At 43.9% G+C, this 26,232-nt stretch overlaps 1 long non-coding RNA gene and 1 pseudogene across 2 annotated transcripts, besides 2 other annotated features; one reads left to right on the forward strand and one right to left on the reverse strand.

Moving 5' to 3' along the window:
- ART2P (ADP-ribosyltransferase 2, pseudogene) lies at positions 316–1,005 on the forward strand (annotated as a pseudogene).
- LOC105369376 (uncharacterized) lies at positions 3,229–14,402 on the reverse strand. Of its 2 annotated transcripts, XR_950284.3 has the most exons (4): positions 14,312–14,402; positions 7,619–7,778; positions 4,829–5,014; positions 3,229–3,519 (listed from the first exon to the last, which is right to left on the reverse strand). It is a non-coding gene; the product is annotated as an uncharacterized LOC105369376 (long non-coding RNA). The 2 variants fall into 2 exon arrangements; XR_007062769.1 differs by lacking the exons at positions 3,229–3,519; positions 4,829–5,014 and having other exon boundaries at positions 7,538–7,778.
- Positions 14,535–15,035: an enhancer, noted in NCBI's record as "H3K4me1 hESC enhancer chr11:72246214-72246714 (GRCh37/hg19 assembly coordinates)". NCBI's record gives its function as "activates a minimal SCP1, AML or CMV promoter by ChIP-STARR-seq in naive H9 embryonic stem cells {active_cell/tissue: H9 hESC(naive)}" and the evidence as "EXISTENCE:reporter gene assay evidence [ECO:0000049][PMID:30033119]".
- Positions 15,036–15,536: an enhancer, noted in NCBI's record as "H3K4me1 hESC enhancer chr11:72246715-72247215 (GRCh37/hg19 assembly coordinates)". NCBI's record gives its function as "activates a minimal SCP1, AML or CMV promoter by ChIP-STARR-seq in naive H9 embryonic stem cells {active_cell/tissue: H9 hESC(naive)}" and the evidence as "EXISTENCE:reporter gene assay evidence [ECO:0000049][PMID:30033119]".

Raw genomic sequence — 26,232 nt, forward strand, 5'->3', positions numbered from 1 at the left:
TGAGATGGAGTCTCGCTCTGTTGCTCAGGCTGGAATGCAGTGGCACAATCTGGGCTCACTGCAACCTCCACCTCCCAGGTTCAAGCGATTCTCCTGCCTCAGCCTCCTGAGTAGCTGGGATTACAGGTGCATGCCACCAGGCCTAGCTAATTTTTTTTTTGTATTTTTAGTAGAGACAGGGTTTCACCATATTGGCCAGGCTGGTCTTGAACTCCTGACCTCAGGTGATCCACCCACCACGGCCTCCCAAAGTGCCAGAATTACAGGCGGGAGCCATCACACCCGGCCTCTACTCCTTCTTAACAGGTGACCAGCCTGGGACAGCCAGCCAAGCTGGACATGGCTGACAATGTGTTTGATGACCAGTGCGTGGGTTGTGTTGAAGAAATGGAGAAAAGGGTGCCCCAGCTGTTAAAAGAAGAACTGAGAGTGAATACAAATTTAAACATTGACTAGAAAAAGTCGGAAACATGGAAGCAACTCAAAAACAAAATAAGCTATTCTGAAAAACTCAGTGATTTCCATGAAACAGCTCTAGTGGCCTATACTGGGAACACTGCAAATGATTGTAACAAAGCTGTAAGAGAATTCCTTCAAAATTCACACAACTTTCAGTTTAAAGCCTTCCATTATTATCTGACAAGTGCTCTTCAGCTTCTCACTACAGGGAATTGTAACAGAGTTTACAGAGGCTCTAAAACCAAATTTGATTACAGTGGGGAAGGGAATGTATGATTTGGGCAATTTACTTCATCATCTTCATCTCGAAATGTATCTGTGTCACCACCATTTCTTGGTGAAGAGGGGACACTATTTATCATCACAACCTGCCTGGGTGTTAAAATCAAAAACTTCTCTTTCTATCCTCATGAAGAAGTGCTAATTCTTTTTTGAGAGTATAAGGTGTATCAGAAAGTTACCATTAAACAAACAAATAAAAAACACAATAAAATTTTGCTTGAAAGTTCTAAGAAAATAAGGAGTAACTTCAATTGTTTCTGCGATGGTTCTACTAAAAATCCCAGAAAACAAGACAGCAATTTCAACAGCTCAGGTGAGTCTGGGTCTGCATTGGAGGTGCGAGTGGTGGGGCCATCATGGAATGGAGGAGGGGATGCCCTCCTATCAGATGCAGCCAGGGCACAGAACCCTGGGCCTCCAATCAACTGCTGAAATGTATTAGGTTCCTGAAAGGACTGGGCTAATGTCCCAGAATAGAGAGCAGAGCCCAGGCACAGAGACACAGTGAAATGGGAAAGGTTCTTTTGTCCCCCTAACAGGGCATGTGACAGGGGAAATTGCTTGCTTCTTCAGTACTCCACTGCTCAAACCTCTAGGGGAGCATATAGATGGGCAGGTGGTGGGGCTCTGACCCCACAGCAGTGTCTAGGGGTGAATGTTTACAGCTCCTGAAGCCCCAGTGGGCCTGTGTTACAGGGTGTTCTTTTAGTTTTGCTCTTTTAGTTTAGCTGTCCATAGGCAGATTGTGTTAACCAGCTCAATTAGACTCTCTACCTTGTCACAAGGTCAGAGGTCTTTCTGTATCCTGGGTTCTTGCCTTGGTGTACCTGAAGAATCGGATCACACCTGGGTTTGGAGAATGAGTGCAAGATTTTACTGAGTGGAAGTACCTCTCTGCCCATCAGGGAGCCAGAAGGGAGATGGTTTTCCCTTGGACCTGGGCTGCTGGGAGGCCTGGGCTCCCCTCCAACTGCCCTGGCCAAACTCCCCGTTGTCCTGCCAGTCAGTGGCCTGCCATCGTGCTGGTGCCTGTCAGTGCTTTCCTCACAACATCCAGCTGCTGTGTGCTGGTGTGTTCCTCCGCTGATGTGCTCCTCTCCACGTCCAGCTGCCTCTGTGTCTTCTTCCACCCATGTGTTCCTCACGATGTCCAGCCACAGCCACTTGTGTGTCTGCCTGCTAGGGTCTGGGGGGCAGGGGATTTTTTTTTTGTTTTTTGTTTTCTTTGAGGCAGAGTCTCACTCTGTCACCCAGGCTGGAGGGCAGCGGTGCCATCTCGGCTCAACGCAGCCTCCTCCTCCTGGGTTTAGGCGATTCTCCTGCCTCAGCCTCCTGAATAGCTTGGATTACAGGCGCAGGCCACCATGTCCAGCTAATTTTTGTATTTTTAGTAGAGATGGGGTTTCACTATGTTGGTCAGGCTGGTCTTGAACTCCTGACCTCGTGATCCACTCACCTTGGCCTCCCAAAGTGCTGGGATTACAGGTGTGAGCCACTGTGCCCGGCCGAGAGTTGGTTTTATAGGCACAGGGTTGGGGGCATGGCAGGCCAGGGTGGTCTTGGGAAATGCAACATTTGGGCACGAAGGCAGGAGTGCCTGTCCTCACCTAGGTCCGTGGGGGTGGAACCCTAGCCAGGGACCACACCATTCTCTACCCAGCACTTCCCTTCCTTCCTTCCATATCATTTAAAGGATTTAAAGGGACCCTGCTCTTCCCTTCCCAGCACTTCCGTATCAACAGGGCAGCCTCTAGCCCAGTGAAGCTCCCAACCTCCCTGCATGCAGAAAGGTCGAAAAGATCTGCTGGGCAGAATGAGTTATGGAAACTACTGCTATGTTGGGGGACACATCAGAGGGCCAGGAGAGTTGGGAGACCTGGTTCCGGGCAGAAGGCTGTGGCTGCTGCAGGAATCGGGGCAAGAGATGAGGGTGCCTAAACTGAGCAGGTGGCTGCAGTGATGGAGGCAGGTCTGGGAACTGGTGCTCTCTATGAGGTGCTTTAGGAGGAAGAGAGTGAAAGCTGGGCAGACTGAGAGGGGTGCTCAGAAAACATATTGGTAGGCTTGAGATTTCCAGTGTAGCTAGTTTACAGATTCTGGGCAGGCAAGAGGACATTTCCATAGAAAAGGTTGGCTAGACAGAAGAGAGATGGATGGTGTTGGAGTGAGGAGATTGAAAAATGGAAAGGTTTTGCACAAATGGGCCACACAATAGACCAGACACATAGGGAGGATGGCTAGGCTGAGGAAGGTTAGAGGTGGTACAACCAGAGGACAGGGACCTCAGTAAGGCAGAGCAGTCATGGTTGGCAATGATAATGGAGGGCATCAGGAGAGGCTAGTACTCCTCCCAGACCCTGATGGTGAGAAGTGCCAGCATGAGCACTTTACCCACCCTTTCCTTTCCCACATGGCATGGCTTTTAGGTCTTTGTGCCTTTGCACCCGTCATTCTTTGTGGCCTGAAGTCTCGTCCCTCCTTTGACTGCACATCATATTTCATCCCATCTAAAACACCATCAATTTCAGTACGGTAATTATCTTTCAGGACCTACCTCAGATGTCTCTTCCAGTGGTAAGCCTTTCTTAACACTTTCAGGCAAAAGTAAACATTGTACCATGCTCCGTGCTGTAGGTTTGGAGTCAGACCACCTCAGTGGTAATCTGGACTCAGCCATCACCAGCTCTGTGACTCTACGCCAGTCACCTGAGCAATCTGTGCCCCAATTTCCTCATTTGAAAGATGTGGGTATGAGTAACAAATACTTCAGTAGTGTTGCTGTGAATATTAAGAGAGATATTTGTAACTTATTGCCTGGCACACAGACATTGCTCAACAAATACTACTTTTCTTTTTCCCCTGTGCACATCTCAGCCATACACTCACCATTTATATGATAACCATTTGTTTACAGTGTGGAGACTTTGCCTCCCTTTCCATCTGCACTTAGGGCTTGCCATAATGCCTGGCTGGAATGGGGGCTCCAGCACATGCTGGTGAAGTGAGTTAAGCTTTGTTGAGAGGCCAGGAGTCCATCCAGAAGTGAATCTGAGCTGCAGAGGGATTGAGTACCCAGCAAACTGAGATCAAATTAGTCCTTATTTTCTGAAGGGGTGCTGGAAACACAAGAAATCTTTGGGGTAGAAATGGGACCACAGAGAGGAATTACAGGGGAACTCTGAGCTTTTACATAGAGAGATTTTGAATTTGGATCAAGTCTAATGAAAATAGGATAGCCAGGTAGACAGTCCAGCGGAGGAAAGATGCTACTCTCCATCTGGAGCCAAATGGTTGGTGTTCAGATTCAGGAAGACTGAGAACCCCAGGTGAGGAAGCCAGATCCCACCAACTCCGGTTAACATCAGCTGTAGGGACAGGAGTACATATGTGACTGCAAAAGATTGACTTCCAAGAGATACAAATTCAAAAACCTCTTCTTGGGTGAGAAAGACAAGTGTGGAGGCCACAATGGCCAGGGGAGCTGCAGGCCCCAGATAGGGGAGGCCTTTCTCACTGAGTCACCGGTGACTGGGAGCCCAGGTCTGGAAAGTGGCCATGGAAAGATGAAGGACTCATCAGGCCTGAGAGCTCAGTCAACTTGAGGTGACCTTAAATTGAAGAACCAAAAGCAAGTGTCCTCACAGCTTCTCTCTCCCCTGTATTTCTGAGTACTTCATGAATCCTGAAAAGGCAAGGGTCTAACTAGGTCTAGTGAGCCCCTAGAGCCCACCTTTTTGGGTTTGTTTTTGTTTTTTGAGACAGCATCTTGCTCTGTCGCCAAGGCTGGAGTGCAGTGGTGTGATCATAGTTCACTGCAGCCTTGAACTCCCAGACTTAAGTGATCCTCCCACCTCAGCCTCCTGAGTAGCTGGGGCCACAGGTAGACATGACCATACCCAGCTAATTTTTAATTTTTTTGTAGTGACAAGGTCTCGCCATGTTGCCCATGCTGGTCTCAAACTCCCAGGCTCAAGCGACCCTCCCACCTCGGCCTCCCAAAGTGCTAGGATTACATGCATGAGCCACCGTGCCTGGCCCCTGTTGTTGTTGTTTTTTGTTGTTGTTGTTGTTTGTTTGTTTGTTTTACCTTAAGATGAAGCTCTAAAAGTTTGGGAGGCCCGTGTCTTGAGAATTCCCATGCAGAATCCTTTCCTTCTCTCCTTCCCATCTGCAGGAATGAGAGCAGGCCCCATGTTCCTTCTGCAGCTGCCAGATCTCCTCATCCTGCTGCTTCTCCTTGCTGAGCTGTGACTGCCCCGCCTGGTGCCTGGTTCTGCATGGAGTTTGTGGAGCAGGGGTGTGGGAGGGAGGCAAAGAGGCGGGGCCTTGATTGGCTCTCTGGCACTGGCAGTATTAGAAAGGGTAGGATAGTTTTTGTGGTCTACATTAGTGCTCACAGTACCCACAGACAAATGAGGAAACTAGTGAGTCTGGCTGCAAAAGTGAGCACTTTCTTAAAATTCACTACCTAAGATAACACCCTGGTCTCCTAACACTTCGCTATGATTAAAAAGCAATACTTCCATGCACTGTCAGCAGTAACAGTCTTAAAAATGCAATTTAATTGTGATGTTATAATCTAAAGAAATAAACCATTTATAATCATGCCTTGCTTTTCTGTGACGAGATATTTCTATAGGTTGTATTATTTGCTCAAGAAATTGTCCTAAAACATTAGACTTGATGCTGGCATTTTCACAGTTGAGAAGGCTCATGTTGTACATTTCTCTTAGGTTTCCTTGCAAGACTGGTTGATTGAGCCAGAAATACAAGGGCTGTCCTAGAAAAATCTCTCCTCCTTTACTACTCCACCAAAAATTCAGGCAGCTACCAAGCCCTGTCAATTAATTTTAATAATAGCTCCCAAATCTAGTCCTTGCCTCTGCCTACTCTGATTGTCTCTGAGGAAATGAACAGGCACGTTCTGATGTCTGGATAGAGCAGGGAAGGCTACGTGCTATACTTGCCAAGGGTGGGTTTGGCTAAGATGCACAGAACTTCACACACTCCTTATCCTCCACTCTCCATGCCTGAAGACTACACTGCCCTTGGCTTAGCAGCTATTGAGACAAATTACAAAGAAATGGTAAGTAGCACCAAATAGTAGGATGGTGCAATAATAGACAAAAACACCATCAGAGAGAATAGAGTCAAGAAAAAGACCCATGTAAACACAGGCCTTAGGTCTATGGCAGGAGGGCCTCACAAACTACAGGGGAAAGGACGAGTCACTGAATGGTTGGGACCCCTGTCTGTTAATATGAAAAAAGAAAAAGAAATTGAATTGGATTCCTGCTTTGCACCTGTTAAGTAAAATTCATGGGAGGCCATTGTTTTGGCCTAAGTTTCTTCACCAGGCCCCAACAAACCAAAGCAAACCAGAATGGACTCACTGGTGCTAGCTGCCACATAATCAAAGTGAACTTTGAAACGGGTCAGTTTCCAAAAAAAGCCCAGGAGAGTCACAGAAACCAATCAGAAAGGGCCCAGTTTACCTGAGCCTGTATGATAAGGAAGTCATTTCTGTTTTAACCCTGTGAGAAAAGAAACTTTAAATGACCAATCCATTTTCTGTTCTTTATTTCTGCTTTCTTCAGCCCTTTTCTACCCATAAAGCCCACTCCCTCTGCTCAGCTCATCACGACCCCCATTCTGTTTTCTAGAATGAGACTTTGCCCGGTTCTAGAATTGCTAATAAAAGCCAATTCGATTTTTCTTTTTTTTTTTGAGATGGAGTCTCACTCTGTTGCCCAGGCTGGAGTGCAGTGGCACAATCTGGGCTCACTGCAACATCCGCCTCCTGGGTTCAAGCAATTATCCTGCCTCAGCCTCCCAAGTAGCTGGGATTACAGGCATACGCCACCACATCTAGCTAATTTTTGTATTTTTAGTTGAAACAGAGTTTTGCCATGTTGGCCAGGCTGGTTTTGAACTCCTGACCTCAAATGATCCACCCACCTTGGCCTCCCAAAGTGTTGGGATTACAGGCGTCAGCCACCATGCCTGGCCACCAATTAGATCTTTAAATTAAATGTGTTGTTTCTCTTTTGACACGTCATACATAAAAGTAATCCCAAAGAAATTAAAGACATAAATGTAGAAAATAAACCTCTGAAATTGTTTATTATGATTATGATTATTATTTTTATTTTTTGAGACGGAGTCTCGCTCTGTTGCCCAGGCTGGAGTACAGTATCGTGATCTCAGCTCACTGCAAGCTCCGCCTCCTGGGTTCACACCATTCTCCTGCCTCAGCCTCCCAAGTAGCTGGGACTATAGGCACCTGCCACCACACCCAGCTAATTTTGTTTTTGTATTTTTAGTAGAGATGGGGTTTTACCATGTTACCCAGGATGGTCTCGATCTCCTGACCTTGTGATCTGCCCGACCCAGCCTCCCAAAGTGCTGGGATTACAGGCGTGAGCCACCGTGCCTGGCCTCTAAAGCTATTATTAAAAATGTAGGCCAGGTGTGGTGGCTCATGCCTGTAATCCCAGCACTTTGGGAGGCCAAGGTGGGTGGATCACAAGGTCAGGAGTTCGAGACCATCCTGGCCAACATGGTGAAATCCCGTCTCTACTAAAAATACAAAAGTTAGCCACGCATGGTGGCTGGCACCTGTAGTCCCAGCTACTTGGGAGGCTGAGGCAGGAGAATCACTTGAACTGGGAGGCGGAGCTTGCAGTGAGCCGAGATTGCACGACTGCAGTCCAGCCTGGGCGACAGAGTGAAACTCCATCTCAAAAAAAAAAAAAAAAAGTAGAAGAATATTTTTTAACATTAGGAATGGAAGATATTTTTTACCCGTCCAAAAAATGTATTTATTGTCCCTGCCTAATTCAGGCAACAACATCACAGAACATCCTTTTACAATTACCAAGGCAGGAAATGAGAATGCAGGGAGTGGGTGGGTGGCCTGTCGGATTCCTGGATCTCACCACTTCTGCCCAGAAGCGACACCATCAATTTGCTCACATTTCACTGATTCAAGAAAGCCACATGGCTACACCCAACTTCCAAAGGGGCTTTCCAGAGGCCTGGAAGGTAAAGAGAGGAGGAAGATTTGTAATATGCCCCATTGATTGGGGAAGTCTTTCTTAAATAAGACCAAAAAGCACAAACAAATAAAGAAAAATAAATAAATTTGACATATAATAATAACACAAATACCTAAAATGTATTGGGTGATTGCTGTATATCAGGCACTCATTGTTCTAAGCACTTTACGTGTTTACTCATCTAATCCTCATCATGACCCAATGAGGTAAGTTCTGTTATTTTCCAATTTTACAGTTGAGGTACTGAGAGGTTATATGATTGACTGTCAAAGAATAGAATAGAGGTAAGAAACAAAGGAAGGGAACACACCAGGGAAAGACCAGGGATTCTTAAGTATTAGTAGGAGTTGTACTAATTAAGCAGTAAAAAATGGCATTCCAGATAGGATAGATTGAGTTCATAAGTCTGCATATAATTGGCTAAAAGAAATCCTATTGTTGGCCAGTCACGGTGGCTCACACCTGTAATCCCAGCAGTTTGGGAGGCCGAGGTGGGCAGATCACCTGAGGTCAGGAGTTCGAGACCAGCCTGACCAGGATGGAGAAACCCTGTCTCTACTAAAAATAGAAAATTAGCCGGGCGTGGTGGCGCATGCCTGTAATCCAGCTACTCGGGAGGCTGAGGCAGGAGAATTGCTTGAACCTGGGAGGCGGAGGTTGCAGTGAGCTGAGATCGTGCCATTGCACTCAAGCCTGGGCAACAAGAGCAAAACTCTATCTCAAAAGAAAAAAAAAAAGAAATCCTATTGTTTCTTGTTCAGGAAAGAGTCCTCGTTTACCATCTGGCATGCAAGAGTCATTAAAAGTTCATGATTATTTATCAACTTCAACAGGGAAAACCCACTTGTAATGAGATAAAACATGCAGTTTTTATATCTCCTAGGCAAGTGCTTCTGTAAGTCAAAAATTTTCCTTTTACACAGCAAGTAAATTAAGTCAGAATCAAACATTTAAACTTCTGAGTGTCAGAAGACACCACAAACAAGCTTACAATGCAGAAGTAGATTGGGAAAGAATCTTTCCAAGATGTTTAACATGTAGAGAATATCTACAAATACATTAAAAAAAGAAAAGAAAAAAACAATAGGGCCGGGCACGGTGACTCAGGCCTGTAATCCCAGCACTTTGGGAGGCTGAGGCGGGCGGATCACAAGGTCAGGAGATCGAGACCATCCTGGCTAACACGGTGAAACCCCATCTCTACTAAAAAATACAAAAAAATTAGCCAGGCGTGGTAGCAGGCGCCTGTAGTCCCAGCTACTCGGGAGGCTGAGGCAGGAAAATGGTGTGAACCAGGGAAGTGGAGCTTGCAGTGAGCCAAGATCACGCCACTGCACTCCAGCCTGGGTGACAGAGCGAGACTCCATCTCAAAAAAAAGAAAAATTGGAAAAACAAATGAACTAGCAATTTAACATGATAAAAACATTTTTAAATGCTCATTTTATGCAAATTGCCATGGAAATGTAAATGGAAACAATAACATATTATTTCACCTGTAAGATTGGCCACTAGACCTTATTAAGTTTCTGCTATTTAAGCAACATTTTATCCTAGCTTTGAATCTGCATGAGATTCTGTACCCCTTGTTCCTATATTTTCATTACATTATTTGTTTAATATCCAGGTGAGAAAGGTTTTGATGCATCCTTTAAGGTTGCAACTTAGGTAACATATTATAAGCGATACTGTGACATAAACTATTATTGCCAGACCATGCAATATTTTGTACAATTTTTATTCAATTCAAGAAGGCACAAGATTCCAGAGTATGTGAGGGCTCTTTCCTTTGGTGTTTATTTTTCTTCTGTCTCCAAACATCTACAACCCTTCCATTTTCACTTTCCATCTTGTCCTTGTGAGCTTCATCAAACATCTCTTTTTGCTCCTCTACTTCTCCCTTTCCACAATTTGACAGCACTTCTCTAAGTTTCTTCTCTTTCAAGTCATCACACACATACCCAACAGACATCAACTTGTAGAAGAGATCAGCGGCATGCTTAGCCTCGGGCCTCCTTAGGACATCCACCTCAGGTGGGAATGAGCAAACTGGGCTTCAGAGTCTCTCCTCGTGGTTGAAGGACTTGTTTCTCCTCGGTCCAGTCAATAAATGATGACTGGAATTAAACAATGGCTGAAAATAACAGAGCGTGATCTCTAAAGACCAGGTCCTTGGTTTAGGCTTCTTCCATTCTCCTGGGCATCAGGTGTCTTGACCACTTCGGCTCTACCCAAAGTCTCTAGCCTTTCTAGTAGTTTCCACTATAATTGTGCAACATCAAGATTCTGGGAAGGTTTCAAGAATTTTCAGGCGAAACATTTCAGCTGATTGGAAAGCCAGAAAGTTTTTAGAGATTATGTGCTGGAAGCTTAAAGGGCAAAAGAGAAATAAAAGGAAATCAAGGTGGCAAAGTTAAAGAATAGCCATAGTTTAGCAGTTGGAGGCTGTTCTATGAAATAGAGTTGTGATATTCTTTTTTTTTTTTCTTTCTTTTTGAGACGGAGTCTCACTCTGTCGCCCAGGCTGGAGTGCAGTGGTGCAATCTCCACTCACTGCAAGCTCCACCTCCCAGGTTCATGCCATTCTCCTGCCTCAGCCTCCCAAGTAGCTGGGACTACAGGCACCTGCCACCACGCTGGCTAATTTTTTTGTATTTTTTTTTAGTAGAGACGGGGTTTCACCGTGTTAGCCAGGATGGTCTCGATCTCCTGACCTTGTGATCCACCCGCCTCAGCCTCCCAAAGTGCTGGGATTACAGGCATGAGCCACCGTGCCGGGCCATTTCTGGGTTCTTTATTCTGCTTCATTGGTCTATGTGTCTGTTTTTGTATCAGTACCATGGTGTTTTGGTTACTGTAGCCTTATAGTATAGTGTGAAGTTGGGTAATGTGATGCCTCTGGCTTTGTTCTTTTTGCTTAGAATTGCATTGGCTATTTAGACTCTTTTTTTGTTCCATATGAATTCTGGAATAGTTTTTTTCTAGTTTTGTGAAAAATTACATTGGTATCTCGATAGGAATACCATTGAATCTGTAGGTTGCTTTGGGCAATATGGCCATTTTAACAATATTGATTCTCCCAATCCATGAACATGGAATGTTTTTCCATTGTCTGTGTCATCTATAATTTATTTCAGCAGTGTTTTGTAGTTCTTCTTGTATAGGTCTTTCACCTCCTTGGTTAGATGTATTCCTAAGTATTTTATTCTTTTTGTGACTATTGTAAATGGGATTGTATTCTTGATTTGACTCTCAGCTTGAACAGTTTTGGTGTATAGGAATGCTACTAATTTTTCTATGTTGATTTTGTATTCCAAAACTTTACTGAAGTGGTTTATCAGTTTCAGGAGCTTTTTGGTAAAGTCTTTAGAGTTTTCTAGTTATAAAATCATGTCGTCTGCAAACAGAAATAGTTTGACTTCTTTGCCTATTGGGATGCCTTTTTTTTTTTTTTTTTTTTGAGATGGAGTCTTGCTCTGTTGCCCAGGCTGGAGTGCAGTGGCGTGATCTCGGCTCACTGCAAGCTCCACCTCCCGGGTTCAAGTGATTCTCCTGCCTCAGCCTCCTGAGTAGCTGGGAGTACAGGTGCCCGCCACCACGCCCAGCTAATTTTTTGTATTTTTAGTGGAGACCAGGTTTCACCATGTTAGCCAGGATGGTCTTGATCTCCTGACCTTGTGATCTGCCTGCCTCAGCCTCCCAAAGTGCTGGGATTACAGGCGTGAGCCACCGCACCTGGCCGTGGGATGCCTTTTATTTCTTTCTCTTGCCTGATTGCTCTGGCTAGGACTTCCAGTACTATGTTGAAAGGAGTGGTGAAAGTTAAGTATGCTTGTCTTGTTCCAGCTCTCAAGGGGAATGCTCCAAGTTTTTGTCCATTCAGTATGATATAGGTTGTGGGTTTGTCATAGATGGCCCATATTATTTTGTGGTACGTTCCTTTGATGCCTAGTTTCTTGAGAGTTTTCATCATGATGGGATGTTAAATTTTATCAAAAGCTTTTCTGTGTCTATTGGGATGATCATATGGATTCTGCTTTTAATTTTGTTTGTCTGGTGAATCACGCTTATTGGTTCATGTATGTTGAACCAGCCTTTCGTCCCAGGAATGAAGCCTACTTGATCATAGCGAATTAGCTGGTTTCAGTTTGCTAGTACTTTGTTGAAGATTTTTGTGTCCATGTTCATCAGGGATATTGGCCTGAAGTATTCTTTTTTCATTGTATCTTTGCCAGGTTTTGGAATCAGGGTGATGCTGGCTTCATAGGGCAGGAGGAGGAGTTAGGGAGGAGTACCTCTTCCTCAATTTTTTGGAACGGTTTCCATAGGATTAGTACCAGTTCTTCTTTTTATGTCTGGTACAATCCAGCTGTGACTTCATCTGGTCCAGGGCTTTTTGGGATTAGCAGGTTTTTAAAAGTACTGATTCAATTCTGGAACCCTATAGTGGTCTGTTCAGAATTTCAATTTCTTCCTGATTAAATCTTGGGAGATTTTGTGTTTCCAGGAATTTTTCAACTTCCTCTAGATTTTCTAGTTTGTGTGCCTACAGGTGTTTATAATAGTCTGAGAATAATTTGTATTTCTGTGGGATTGGTTGTAATGTCACTTTTGTCATTTCTGATTGTGCTTATTTGGATCTTCTCTGTTTTTTTCCTTGTTATCTAGCTAGCAGTCTATGGATCTTGTTTATCCTTTCAAAGAATCAATTTTTGGTTTCATTGATTCTTTGTATGGATTTTGGGTCTCCATTTCATTCAGTGATACTCTGATTTTAGTTATTTCTCTTCTTCTGCTAGCTTTGGGGTTAGTTTTTCTAGTTCCTCCAGGTGTGAGGTTGGACTGTTAATTTGAGATCTGTCTAACTTTTTGAGGTAGGCATTTAGCATAATAAACTTTCCTCTTAATACCACTTCTGCTGAATCCCAGAGATTTTGGTATGTTGTGTCTCTGTTTTCATTTAGTTCAAAGAATTTTTTGATTTCTACCTTAATTTCATTGTTTAGCCAACAGTTTTTCAGGAACAAGTTGTTTAATTTGTATGTAATTGTGTGGTTTTGACAGATCTTCTTTGTATTGATGTCTGTTTCTGTTCCACTCTGATCTGAGACTACGGTTGGTGGTATTTCTTTTTTTTCTAATTGGGACTTACCTTATGGTCAAGCATGTGGTTGATCTTGGAGTATGTTCCGTGTACAGATGAGAAGAATATATATTCTATGGTTGATGGGTAAATGATCGTCTATGATCAGAATCATTTACAGATTTAAAAATATATTGTTAACATTAAACACTGATAGGCCGGGCATGGCAGCTCACGCTTATAATCCCAACACTTTGGGATGCCAAGGCAGGTGGATCATGAGGTCAGGAGATCGAGACCATCCTGGCTAACACGGTGAAACCCCGTCTCTACTAAAAATACAAAAAATTAGCTGGGCTTGGTGGCAGGCGCCTGTAGTCCCAGCTACTCGGGAGGCTGAGGCAGGAGAATGGCGTGAACCCAGGAGGCAGAGCTTGCAGTGAGCCGAGATTGTGCCACCGTACTCCAGCCTGGGCGACAGAGCAAGACTCCATCTCAAAAAAAAAACAAAAAACAAAAAACAAAAAACTGATGATAAGAATTCATAAGAGAAATATGGTAACAAAGCATTATCCACTTTAACTGGATTAACTATAAATTTACACAATTTTGCAATATTATATGAATTCCACCAATACAATAACCAATTTATAGAATACTTGTTCTTTTAAATAATTCAACTAGTTGAATACTCACATTTACATTGACATACTCTTAAATATTAGTGCAAGTAATGATAATCAGGAAATTTGGAAAGTTTACTTCATTTGGCTTTTGCAGGGATTAAAAAACTAATTTCAAAGTCTTTCAGGAACTGAAATCCAAAATTTGCATTTTTGTTTCTCACTGTGGTAAAATCAGGGAGAAGACCTACAGTCATCTTTAAACTAAAATTCACAATACAATTTATTTTATCAAAGGATTTGCCTTCACAGATAATATCAAGGGCACAGGCATTAGCATTTAATTTCCTTGTATTTATTTACTTTTCTACTTTGTATATTATTTGAGAGCTTTGCCTGTAAAATCCCTAACTGATAAAGGCACATTGTTGCAAGATACCTGGAGGACAAATAAGGAGAACTCCTGATAAAGGATGTACACAGGCCAGATTAGATGGCTTTTACTTCCTTGTTTTCCCTTTCCTCCCAAACCACAAATCACAGCAAACTCCAAAACAGCAGCTAATTTCAAAGCTAATTTGCTCCCCTCAGCTGCACTCTTGCCATGAGGGCTTCTGTTATGCGTTTTAAAAATGAATTGCTAAGCTGAGAAGGATCACACAAGATACACATTCATACACAGAACACGTTCATCCTCCTGAATACAAGGATTCTCAGGGACCCATGCAGATTTAGGATTCTGGCAAGATTCTTGGTCAAACAAAACCAATATCCAGAAGTAATCCCTGAGAGTGAGGGTGAGAGTTACCTGAGCAGAATCAGTAGTCAGTGACATTGGGTCCATACCAGAGAGCTGGGCTGTGAAAGTCCTTCACTCCAGGAAGGCACACCCTTGGCCTGAGCCGCAGGGAAAGCTAAGCTAGTTAAAATACCAGATACTGACTCAGCAGAAACCAACATTTTTCTCTTAGGATTAAAACAACTAAATTGTGCCTGGTATTTCCCTCAAAAATGATCAAGTGAGAACTATTTGAGCACACTGACTGAAGTGGTTGTGTGCAGGAGAGGGTAGTAGGGTTCCCATCCACAGAGCAGATTTGTGTACAGGTTAGAAAATGCTCTGGTGTTCTTTTGAATCAGCAGAGTGAAGACTCCAGCTCTAGGATGGATCAGCAACTGGAGTTTGCTCCATTAGCATTTAGTAGTCTGCGGTAGGCAAGTGCAGCCACCAGGGGCCCGGGTGCACATTTAACCCTGGCCTTTCTGAAACCCAGAGCACCCAAGTCTCTTCAGGTGGATCTGGAACTGTTTTCACCAAGCCAGTATATTGTTTTCATTGACTTGTGAAAGCGGTGGGTCATCAAGATAAAATAAAGAGAAAACACCCTTAAAGAAACTAAGAAGTTGAAAAACAATGTCAGTAGGCTAGGCATGGTGGCTCACACTTATAATCTCAGCACTTTGGAAGGCCATGGTGGGAGGATTGCTTGAGGCCAGGAGTTCAAGACGAGCCTGGGCAACATAGTGAGAACCCTGCCTCTACTAAAAACTAGCTGAGTGTGATGGTGTGCACCTATAGTCTTACCTAATCAGGAGGCTGAGGCGGGAGGATTGCTTAAGCCCAGGAGTTTGAGGCTGCAGTGAAGTAATGACTGTGGCATTGAACTCCAGCCTGCGTAACGGAGTGAGGTCCTGTCTCTAAAAAAAAAAAAGAAAGGAAGGAAGGAAGGGAGGAAGGGAGAGAGGGAAGGAGGGAGGGAAGGAGGGATGGAGGGAGGGAGGAAGGGGAGGGGAGGGGTGGGAAGGGAAGGAGGGTGGAAGGGAGGAAGGGAGGGAAGGAGGGAGGAATGTTGGGAAAAAGGAAGGAAGGAAGGAGAAAAATAAAGAGAATGTCTGTTATATGTGCACACATTGTCATTTACCCATCAGTCTCCATATTACTTTAGAAAAATGGAACTCTAGAGAAAAAATGAGGTATGTAGGGGTTCCCAACCAGAGAATTCAAATGAAGACTATGCTGGATCTCTGTCTTCAGTCATTTATAAGCTGGATGGGGCTGTCATGTCCCTGAGCCACAGAAGGCAGTTGCACAATCCACAGACTGCAAGGAGGCACTGGGCCAAGGCCACATGCTGGCCACCTGACGAATGGCTCAAGGGCTTCCTTGTATTTATTTTATAGAGTAATAAGACTCTCTAAGTATTGATTAGAAGTCTTAGGACTGGGCTGGGCACGGTGGCTCACGCGTGTAATCCCAGCACTTTGGGAGGCTGAGGCGGGTGGATCACGAGGTCAGGAGATCGAGACCATCCTGGCTAACATGGTGAAACCCCATCTCTACTAAAAGTACAAAAAATTAGCTGGGCGTGGTGGCGGGCACCTGTAGTCCCAGCTACTCGGGAGGCTGAGGCAGGAGAATGGCGTGAACCTGGGAGGCGGAGCTTGGAGCTTGCAGAGAGATTGCGCCACTGCACTCCAGTCTGGGCGACAGAGCAAGACTCCGTCTCAAAAAAGAAAAAGAAAAAAAAAGTCTTAGGACAGAAGGGTTTCTTAAAGTGTTTATGACTACCAATTTTTGGCCTGATGTGAATTTGCATATTAGTGGGCCTGATCTGCATACTTATTTTGTAACTCAGCAGGAAGCTTGAAGCCATTGAACCAAAGTTAGAGTTTACTGTTTTCCTATCCAAAAACATTTTGAAGAAAGGGCTTAGATTTGAAAACAGGAATAGTGTTTAAATTTGTATTAACAACCTAGTGTATTTTCCAAGGTAATTTTCACGTATTTCATTTTATTCTTATAGGAATATAAAACTCACCTCTTACATAGAGTTTTTAATACTCAGTTGAGTACTTTATTTTGTTTTCACTCGGAAGTCATTTTTTCTAAGTAGAATGTTAAAAGATTCATCCTTTTGAAGACTAATTTCTTTAGTCTATTTAAATGTATTAGCATAAATTACAGAGTGCAAGTTACAGCTCAAGTCTCTTTGCAAACATGGTGTTCTGCGGTTTGGAAGGTTTTCTATTATTTTTCTGTCAGCCTGGAGGGCTTTTCATAAAGGGCTGGCACATTTAAAGTATTGGAGGTGAGGCTTAATTTCTTAATTTTTCCCCCGGGAGACATTGAATCCCTTTATCTTAGATTTATATAAGCTCTCAGTGGTCTATTGAAGCCAGTATGAATAGGAAATCCACTAGAGATACATTTTAGCTATATTTCCTATAAACCTACAGAGGAGGCCTAATTATTTAATAATTCAAAGTATCTTTGATATCAAGCTCATTTCTTTGTCATCCATGGTGTGTCCAGACCAATCCTCCAGAAACAAGCAAGCTGAAAAATCTGTTGGGGTTCAGAATTCCCTTAGACTCCCCACTCTCAATCCCTCAATTCCTATCAATGCAAACCCAACACAGCTGGGCTTTTGCATGGGGGAGCAAATCTCTCAAACAACAGAATACATTATTAAATTATTGGACAATCTGAAGATTGAGCAGTAGCATTTTTCTCCCAAAGAAAAGAAAGAAGAAACCATTCAGAAAAACACAAAGCCACCTGAGCTTCCCTGAATGTCATACACATATTTATCTTCTAAGGACATGAATTCCTTGTTTCTGGTGCAAAACAACCTTGTCTAGTTCAGAGTTTTGCCTCTTGGAACCTCTAGGGTAACTTCACTTAGCTGGAACTTAATTCCAACAGAAAGAAAGCACTCTACCTTCCAATCAGATAAAATTCTATTTTAAAATTTTATTTATTTATTTTGAGACAAGGTCTGTCACCCAGGCTAGAGTGCTGTGGCTCAATCATAGCTCACTGCAACCTCCAACTCTTGGGCTCAAGCAGTCCTCCTGGCTCAGCCTCTAAGTAGCTGAAACTACAGGTGTGCACTACCGCACCTGGCTAATTATTTTTTCTTTCTTCTTCTCTGTCTTTTTTTTTTTTTTTTTTCAGTAGAGATGAGGTCTCCCTGTGTCATCAAGGCTGGTCTCAAGCTCCTGGCCTCAAAAGACCCTCCCGCCTTGGGCTCCCAAAGCGCTGGAATTGCAGGCGTGAGCCACTGTGCCTGGCCCAGATAAAATTCCAACCCAGAATTGGAATTTTACAAATCCAACCTAGAAGCATTCATTCCAAGAGTCAGGGGCACAAGAGCTCTTCCAATCTGCTCAGCTGGCAGGTTCACAGATTGGACTCTACCTGTATTCTGTGGATTCATACCTAAGAATACCTGGGAAAATCCACAAGACAATTTCTATCCACAAGAGAAAACAGAAACTGCAGTTTTTGCTTCCTGACGCTATGTAGATGTTCTTGGCCCACTGCTCCCTAGTGCTTCTGTTTCATGAGCTAGTTAGAAACAAATCGAGACAGGCACGTGCTCAGTCAAGACCCAAATGCATTGTCATTGCCTGAGTTCCCTTCCAAAAACAGAGCCTGAGACAAGGAGTTGCTTGAAGAGGGTTTATTTGGGAGGTGACTTCAGGGTGCAAGGGTGAGGAACTGGTAGGGTGACCAGCTGTCCCTGTTTTCTGTAGACTGCAGGGTTTCCTAATATGTGAGATTTTCCATGCTAAAATCAGAGAAGTCACAAGCAAACTGGGATGAGTTGGTCACTACAGGAAATGGGAAGCTAGACCCAGAGAAGGAGGGAAAGCCAGTTCAAGGCGGGCCTAATGAGTTGGTTTGATCCCATCGGACACCCAAAAATTGTCTGCCAGAAGGATGGAAGTGGGCAGCGTTTATCCACTGGTTCCCATCTCCTCTTAGCAAATGTTGTCCCTTGTTAATTCCTCCCACACTCAGGGCTCATATCCATGAGTGCCTGTGAGTTCCCACAGGCATTTCCCACTGAGGCTTCAGAGAAATGCTGGGCAGAAGTGAAAGAAACACACTGCAGCTGAGGCATGATGCTGTTGGGTTACGCCTACATAAATCTGGTGGCTGCAGCAATGGCTAGGTTCAAAACTGGACTGACAAGGTGTGAGGTGATGCACAAGAAGCATCCAGTACATGAGGGTGAGTTTTGCTTCCCTCTGCTTGCCTCATACTTGAGTTCAGCATGAGTTAACCAAGCTCTGCTCTTAACTTCCCATTAGTTTATCAATTTAAATGAAACAAAACTCTCAAACTCTTTGTTTAAACCAGAAATCCAGCAGAGTAGTTTTATTTCACCTTGTGTATATAGAAGAAGATGCATGCCAGTGGTCCCTTCCTGGCTAAAAAGAAAATTCATAGATATTTTTACTTCCCCCCACCCCACTGCAAAAAAAAAAAAAAAAAAAGGATCCCAATTTAAATGTCATCAGCAGTGCAAATTGTTATTAACTGAGACAACCAATCAAGATCACAGACTTTTTAGAAGTTAGGGCTTACTGTCACCAGACATAGCAACAACCTCTGAAGCCCAGGTGTGTTGCAAAACTCCTTTTTGGAAATCATATTTGCAAGGATGATTTATATGTATTTTTTATTTCCCTAGTTCTTTTAAACGTTTTCTTATGGAAAATTTTAGAAATAAACAAAAGTAGAGAGACTAGTATAATGAATACTCCTGTACAATTAACAACTATCAACTTTCAGCCATTCATTTTCCATTGCCCTCAGTAAAGAAGACATGCAGCCCCAAGAAACAGAAAACCTACTTATATGATCTGAAACAAATGAAAGCACTATTAGTCTCAGATAATATCCCATCTAGAGATCTGCAGTTCTGGGCTAGTGTAAAATTGAATAATGCCTTCAAAAATTCGCTCCTCCTATTATTTTGTTCCTCCATGTTTAGAATGTGGTTGCAATATAGCTGCTAAGCCTCCAGAAATCACATCCTTCTTCCAGGAAGAAAGAATACAGAAGGATGAAAAAGACCAAATGATGTGCCAACTGCCTCAAGTTTCCTTTGAAACTTTCCCTGAAGCTCCATCCAGCAACTTTGACTTACATCTCTTTAGCTAGGACAGGATCACATGGTCTCTCCTTGGTCCAAGGGAGTGTGGGAAGTGAGTAATTTTAGCTGGGGACATAGCTGCCCTGAATTAAATCAGGGTCCTGTTTGTCGGGAAGAATGGGCCTCTGTTCTTTTATCTCTGCTTTCCTCTCTGCTTTGAATGCCTTCCCCTCCCTTGCCCACTCAGGTTATTACTTTATTTAACAAGTTTTTTAACATTCATTCCCTGCCAGTCCCAAGGCCAGGTCCTGGGGCTCTAAAGGTAGTAGGGGCTCTAAAGAAGTAGTTTTTGCTCTTGAAGAGATCCTATTGAAACCAACCCAATAATTCCATAGGATTTTTTTTTAATAAACATAAACATTGACCCTCCTGGTCTTAAAGTTTGAAACATATTTGCTTTATCTGAGTTCCTTCCTCAGGGAAAGACCTTAAGGGCTCTCAAAAAAAAAAAAAAAAAGTATCAAAGAGAATTGAAACTCATCAGATCAGGCATCCAAGGCAGTAAGATAGATGCTTGACCCCTCAGATTGCTTCCCTGCCCCTTTCTAGTTCCTGTTTTCTTATGCATTGTTACATTTCTTCCCTGATACGTAAACCCCTAGTTTTAGCAGGTCAGGAAGATGGATTTGAGAGTGAGCTCCCATCTCCTAGGCTACAGTACCCAAGTAAAGCTTTCTTCCTTGGCAATACTCGCTGTCTCAGTCATTGGCTTTCTGTACAGTGAGCACAGGACCTAGACCAAACCCCTGGTGTTTTAGTAGCAGGAAGCCAATACCAATATCTAACTTGATAAATCCAGAGTCACACAGACACTTTATTTAAAGATATAAAAGTAACCCCTCTAAGATATAAAACCAGGAATGGTTCAAAGGGGTTGGTTGTCTCTGGAGACCAGATTGGGGACAGGGAAGTGGAGAACTGGGGATTGTTGAGACCATTATACATGATAAGCTCTTCTATACTGCTTGGTGCTTTTTTTTTAAACCATGTGCCCGTATAATTTTGATAAAATATTTTAAAAATTTTAAAAAAATACAGCAGGAAACATGTTTGTGCATAAAGAATTGTTGCCACTTTTTGTTATGTTCTCATGCTGTATTCTTATAATTTCTGTGTTAAAGATTGCTGATACAAATTTGTTTCCAGAAAGTGCAGGTTGCTAAATAGAGTGACATGTAAACTATCAATCACATAGCAGGTACTCAGTACATATTAGCTAGAAACAAATCACTCAGTGCTATGTCCAGATTCTAACCCCTTCCCAGTAGTTGCCACAAAGAAGTGCAGCTCTCTGGATGATATCCCTCTGGGCTTTTGCTAATACAAATACTACTGCAGCAAGCAGCCTGTGCTAATATCAATTCCAGTTTTTGGCAGTGTGTACTTGGGATAGATTCCTAGAAATGGGTAAATGCACATGTAATTTGGCTAGATAATGTCATGTTCCCCTCCACAGGGACTGTAGCATTTTCCACTTCCTCAGTAATGTGTGAGCAGGCTTTTTCCCCACATCTTCACCAAGAGAAATTATTATCCAACTATGAAATTTATGCAGTGAGAAATAATCTCTCAGTGTAGTTTGAATTTACATTTCTGTAACTGCCACTGCCCATTCCAAGCTTCCTTTGCCCTTTGCCAGCACTTCAGCTGGTCTAGCTGCTTGTTAAGTGGTGACGCAGATCTTTGTCCCTGAAGGCTCTGGGCTCTTGGCCACCTTGCCCTTGTCAAGCCATGGGTCCCTCATTGCCCATTCAGTGTTATTACAGCACATAGATGCACCAAGATGCATCTTAGGGAATCCCCTGAGCTCCAGACATTCTCCTTTTTATCCACGTTAAGTGTCCGCAACCGAACCTCTTTGTGAAAATCAGTGTTGATTACACTCTGCCAGCATAGTAAATCCATTTTTGCTTTCTGAACCACTGATCCCAGAGTGGCCAGGTAGCAGCTGTATCTTCAGGTCAAGTGGAACCCTCCTGTGTCTCTTGATGGAAGAGCTCACCTCTTCCTGCAAACTAGGACTTCTATCCAGCAGAGCCTAAAGCTGTAGGAGCACAAGGCAAAATTTCTGCAAGTGGGTCACTGGAAATGACGGTAAGAGGAGCCACTCCTCCTCCTGCCCTTTGGTTCCTGAACCTCTGTATTCCAACAAATGAAGACAGAGCGCCACATAACAGCCATTGGTTCCGTGTATATTTCGCACCCTCCAGGTGCCCTCACCCTACGGGATGTCATCTCCAGGCTAGCGCCTTTGCTAAGCCTTTCCGACCAGGTAATTCCAGGTGACATTCTAAGTAGGACCAATGGATCCTGTGGGAATGTGCCCACTGTCATACCTTCTTCACCATAAAATGAGGGCCCTTAGGCTGAGGCAATGTGAGGCAGGGTTCTGTCTCAGGAAATCAGAAACACCGGCAGCTCTGCATTGGTTCTGGCAGAGCTGCTGTAGGCAGGGAAGGCAAACCCACAGCCAGAGATAGTTTACGTTTATATTTTTCTTTCACACTGGACATAGAGGTTTTTAATTAAATCATCTCTTACAGAAACCTCAATACAACTCTTAAAAAATGTAGTCAAACCCAAATGGCTGCAGTAAAACTTATTTTTATAGCATTAACATATGAAAGCTAGTTAACAAAATACATCCCCCAGCAAAGAGCAAACTAAGCCAGATTTGCTCCACAAGTTGTTCATGGAAGCAGTTATTTTTGGCTATTTAACAGACTTCTATATCATGATACACAGCCTGATGTGTCACATCAGGCTGTCTAGATAACAGGACAGACTACAATATTTCCAAAAACAAAAAAGGGAGGGTCGGACGGGCATGGTGGCTCATGCCTGTAATCCCAGCACTTTGTGAGGCGGAGGCTGGTGGATCACCTGAGGTCAGGAGTTCGAGACCAGCCTGGCCAACATGATGAAACCCCGTCTGTACTAAAAATACAAAAAATTAGCTGGGTGTGGTGGCACACGCCTGTAATCCCAGCTACTTGGGAGGCTGAGGCAGGAGAATCACTTGAACCTGGGAGGCAGAGGTTGCAGTGAGCTGAGATCACGCCATTGTACTCCAGCCTGGGCGAAAGAGCGAGACTCTGAAACAAACAAACAAACAACAAACAAACAAACAAATGGAGGATCATTTAAGCCTATCGCAGCAATCGTGGCTGCAGCTCAAAATGGCACAACCGGCCTGAACCCAGAAATAGTTTGTTTCTTTAAGGAAAAATCACTTCCCCTTCCAGGATAGAAGGGGTCTGATATAATCAACTTATTTGATCTTCTCCAGAGATGGAGCCTTCCTGGGGACTCCTTTGTTGGCCCATTAGATAATTGGCAGAGGCAGTGGCTAGAGCAGCCTTGGTGAACAGGAGCCATGCCACTGAGCCAGTGCTTGGCCTCCATCCCCACCACTGTCACTGCTCCATTCATGGGTCCGTTACTCAAGCACAGGAATGGCTAAGGACAGAGGCTGGCTGACATCCACCAAAGAAATCACCCTGTCCAGTGACTTGCTGAGTTCTTCTTCTGAGGTAGAGGCTTCCAAGTAAACACTGATGTGAGACACAGACATCTTCACTCTCGGTGTCCACCTCTGTAGGTCCATCCATGTGCCTCTTCCCAGTCTTCAGATGATGCATCTTTCAGTGGCCAGCCAGTGATTCACCGCTGCTCAGGAGTAGGTGTATGTCTCTACCTCAGGCCACTTCTCATTCCACAAAATGCTTACAACCAAGTGCACTGCTCTTTGCCCACTAGGAGGATTTTCCTTTGACACTGCCTTTAGGGACCCCCTGCCTAGGGGTATCGTGTGGCAGCAGTTCATTTTCAGCTCACACCAGCCTACATGTGAGCCTACCCATACAGAAACCAGGCCTGGATGTTTTCTTCCTCTATCATCTGATCATAGGGAAGCCCCATGAGGCCCTAAGTGTGAGCTGCAGGAGAGACATCAGTGCAACAGGTTACGTGACAGAGGCTCTGAGCCACCTGCTTGTGTGACTAATTTGTGCCTTCTAGAGCTCCTCAGGCCTGGATGTACCACTTCCATCAGACAGTGGATTGCTGCAATGCCTGCCTAATCTTATCATGACTTGATGAATCTAACAATACCCAGTTTATGACAGGCAGCTCCTGTCTCGAAATCGCTTGGTGTCTGTGCCATGGTCAGTGACCACTAGGGCCTAGAAGTACACCAGAAGCTTCTTTTTGAATGCATAGTTCTCTAATGCAGAAGGGATGGCCTAGCTAGAGGTCTGTGTCATCATCTCCTACTGGGACCTGCCAGAAACTGCACCCAGCAACTCTATCTCCATGGATACCTCTAACACTATAGCCAAGTAGCAGACCAGCTTGCACGCAACCTGGTCCTAATGCAGAGCCCTCTCTTCCTCTGGGCCCCGCTTGAAATTGTTAAACCTCTGATTACTTGGTAAATAGATTGGGATAGTATTCTCAATGTAGCATATGCTGCATCCAAAATCCAAAGTACCCATCAAACGCATGCGTCTTGCTTAGTGATAAGGAGTATAAGGTGCAATAACTTGTTCTTTATCTCAGAAGGGATGTCTCAGCGTGTCTCAGAGCTGGACCCTCTACAACCTTCACCCTGAATCTTTGTAGGGTTTATCGCCTATCCTCTGACACATATGTTTCTCATTAGGACATTCAGAGTAATGCCATATTCCTATCTTCCAGGTCCAATTAGCATGATGTCACCAATATAGTGGATCACAGTGCTGTTCTGCAGCAAGTCAAGATGAGCAAAGTCTTAGCAGATTACATTGTGACAGAGAGGAGAGTTAACATAGGCTTGGGGCATGGCTGTGAATGAGTATTATTACTCTTTCCATATACATGCGAACTGCTCTTGATTACTAATTGATTACTAAGGGAGATTGAAAAAGAACACATTAACAGAGTTAAAGCCAAGATGCCAGAGGCTGTGCTGATCTAGTCCAATAAAAATACTGCATTCATCATAAGCGCAGCATTTCTGACAACCACGTGGATCCTGTAGTTACTACATCATCTGTTGGATGATCTGCATGGATTTTGCAGATATTAATACAAGTGAATTAAGTGGGAAATGTCATGGGGACCATCACCCCTGCATCCTTTATGTTTTTAAGGGTGACATTAATTTTTGAGCCCAAACAAATTTCCAACCTGCAGATTCAGGACTAAATAAATAGTTTTAGTTTTAAGCTACTATTTGAGACATGGTGCCATGCAGCAAAAACTGCACTGGATATGCATATTGGGAATACAGAAGCAAAATCTGGACAGGGAGAATAGACTTCAGAGCCACAAGATGAAGTCAAGGAAGTGGGCGAGACCACCCTGGAAACTCATGTAAAGTAAAAACAGCTTGAGATTCCAAAACTCCACATTCCCAACTGAGTTCAGTATTCCCATCTCAGAAAATGTCACCAGCATCTACCCTAGCAGCCAAGTGGGAGACTGAGCGTTTCGCAGCACACATCATGTCTTTGGTGGTCTGGCCCTGCCAGCTTCATCTCCCTCCTTCAGGCACCCTACACTCCAGCAAAATGGAACTCTCTGATGCTCCCAAAATTTACTATGCTTGCTTCCCAGCACCATGCTATTGCCCATGCACCTTCTTCTATCTGGAATGCTCTTCCCAGCTCCTTCTTCGTATATTTTACTGCCATTTCCATCTCATATGTCTCTACCTCTGGGTAGATTTCCATGACCACCTTCCACCAAGAGTTAGCTTCTCCTCCTTCCACATCTTTTTTTTCTTTTTTTTTTTAGACAAAGTCTCACTCTGCTGCCCAAGCTGGAGTGCAGTGGTGCAATCTCAGCTCACTGCAACCTCCACCTCCTGTGTTCAAGCAATTCTCCTGCCTCAGCTTCCCGAGTAGCTGGGACTACAGGCATGTGCCAAATTACAGGCATGCGCCCGGCTAATTTTTGTATTTTTAGTAGAGACGGGGTGTCATTAGTTGGCCAGGCTGATCTTGAACTCCTGACCTTGTGATCTGCCCGCCTTGGCCTCCAAAAGTGCGTGAGCCACTGTGCCCAGCCACCTCCTTCCTCATCTTTCTGTTCACAGACCACCATAGCACACAATATTGAGACAATTGCTTTATTTCTGCCAGCCCTTTCCATCCTCCCCACCAGACTGAGGCGGCCTGAAAGACAAGGACTGCGCCTTTTATATCTCTAGGCATCTGTGCTTACATATAATCAAGAACTTAGAGTGTCTCCCTGGAAACAAATAAATCTAAGCTGGGTCCTACTTGAGATGGGGAGATTTCAGAATGGCCAGTCTGAGTTAATGTCAAGTCTGGTTTCTTTTTCCTGTCTTCCTTCTACAGAGTGTATAGTGATCACTGTTGATGGACTGATGTAACACTCATTCATTCATTGTCAAGCCACTTTTCCTTTGTCTCCTTAACTACAAAGGCGGAAAACCTACCCAGTTGATTTCCCAGGCTCTCCTGCATTTAGGTGTGGCCACGTGACAACATGTGGCCAACAAGGTGAAGCAGAAGTTTGCTAGAGGCTCCTGGGAAAGCTTTTGCTTTTCTGATCAAAATGACATTGGGGCTGACCTTAGAGATACAAAGCCTGAAACTTCACCAGCTGTCTTGCACCTTGAGGCAACAAGCAAACACACTAAGGGTAGTCTGAGTCCCTGAGGGCTTTCAGAAGCTCTGCCCCAGCCTCAGGGGCCTGTCTCCAGACCACTCCTGATGTGAAGTATCTAAGTGCTCTGATTGTTGAAGCCATTCCTGAGACAGAGCACCCGGAG

The sequence above is a fragment of the Homo sapiens genome, chromosome 11, assembly GCF_000001405.40.
Source record: "Homo sapiens chromosome 11, GRCh38.p14 Primary Assembly".
Classification (NCBI taxonomy): domain Eukaryota; kingdom Metazoa; phylum Chordata; class Mammalia; order Primates; family Hominidae; genus Homo; species Homo sapiens.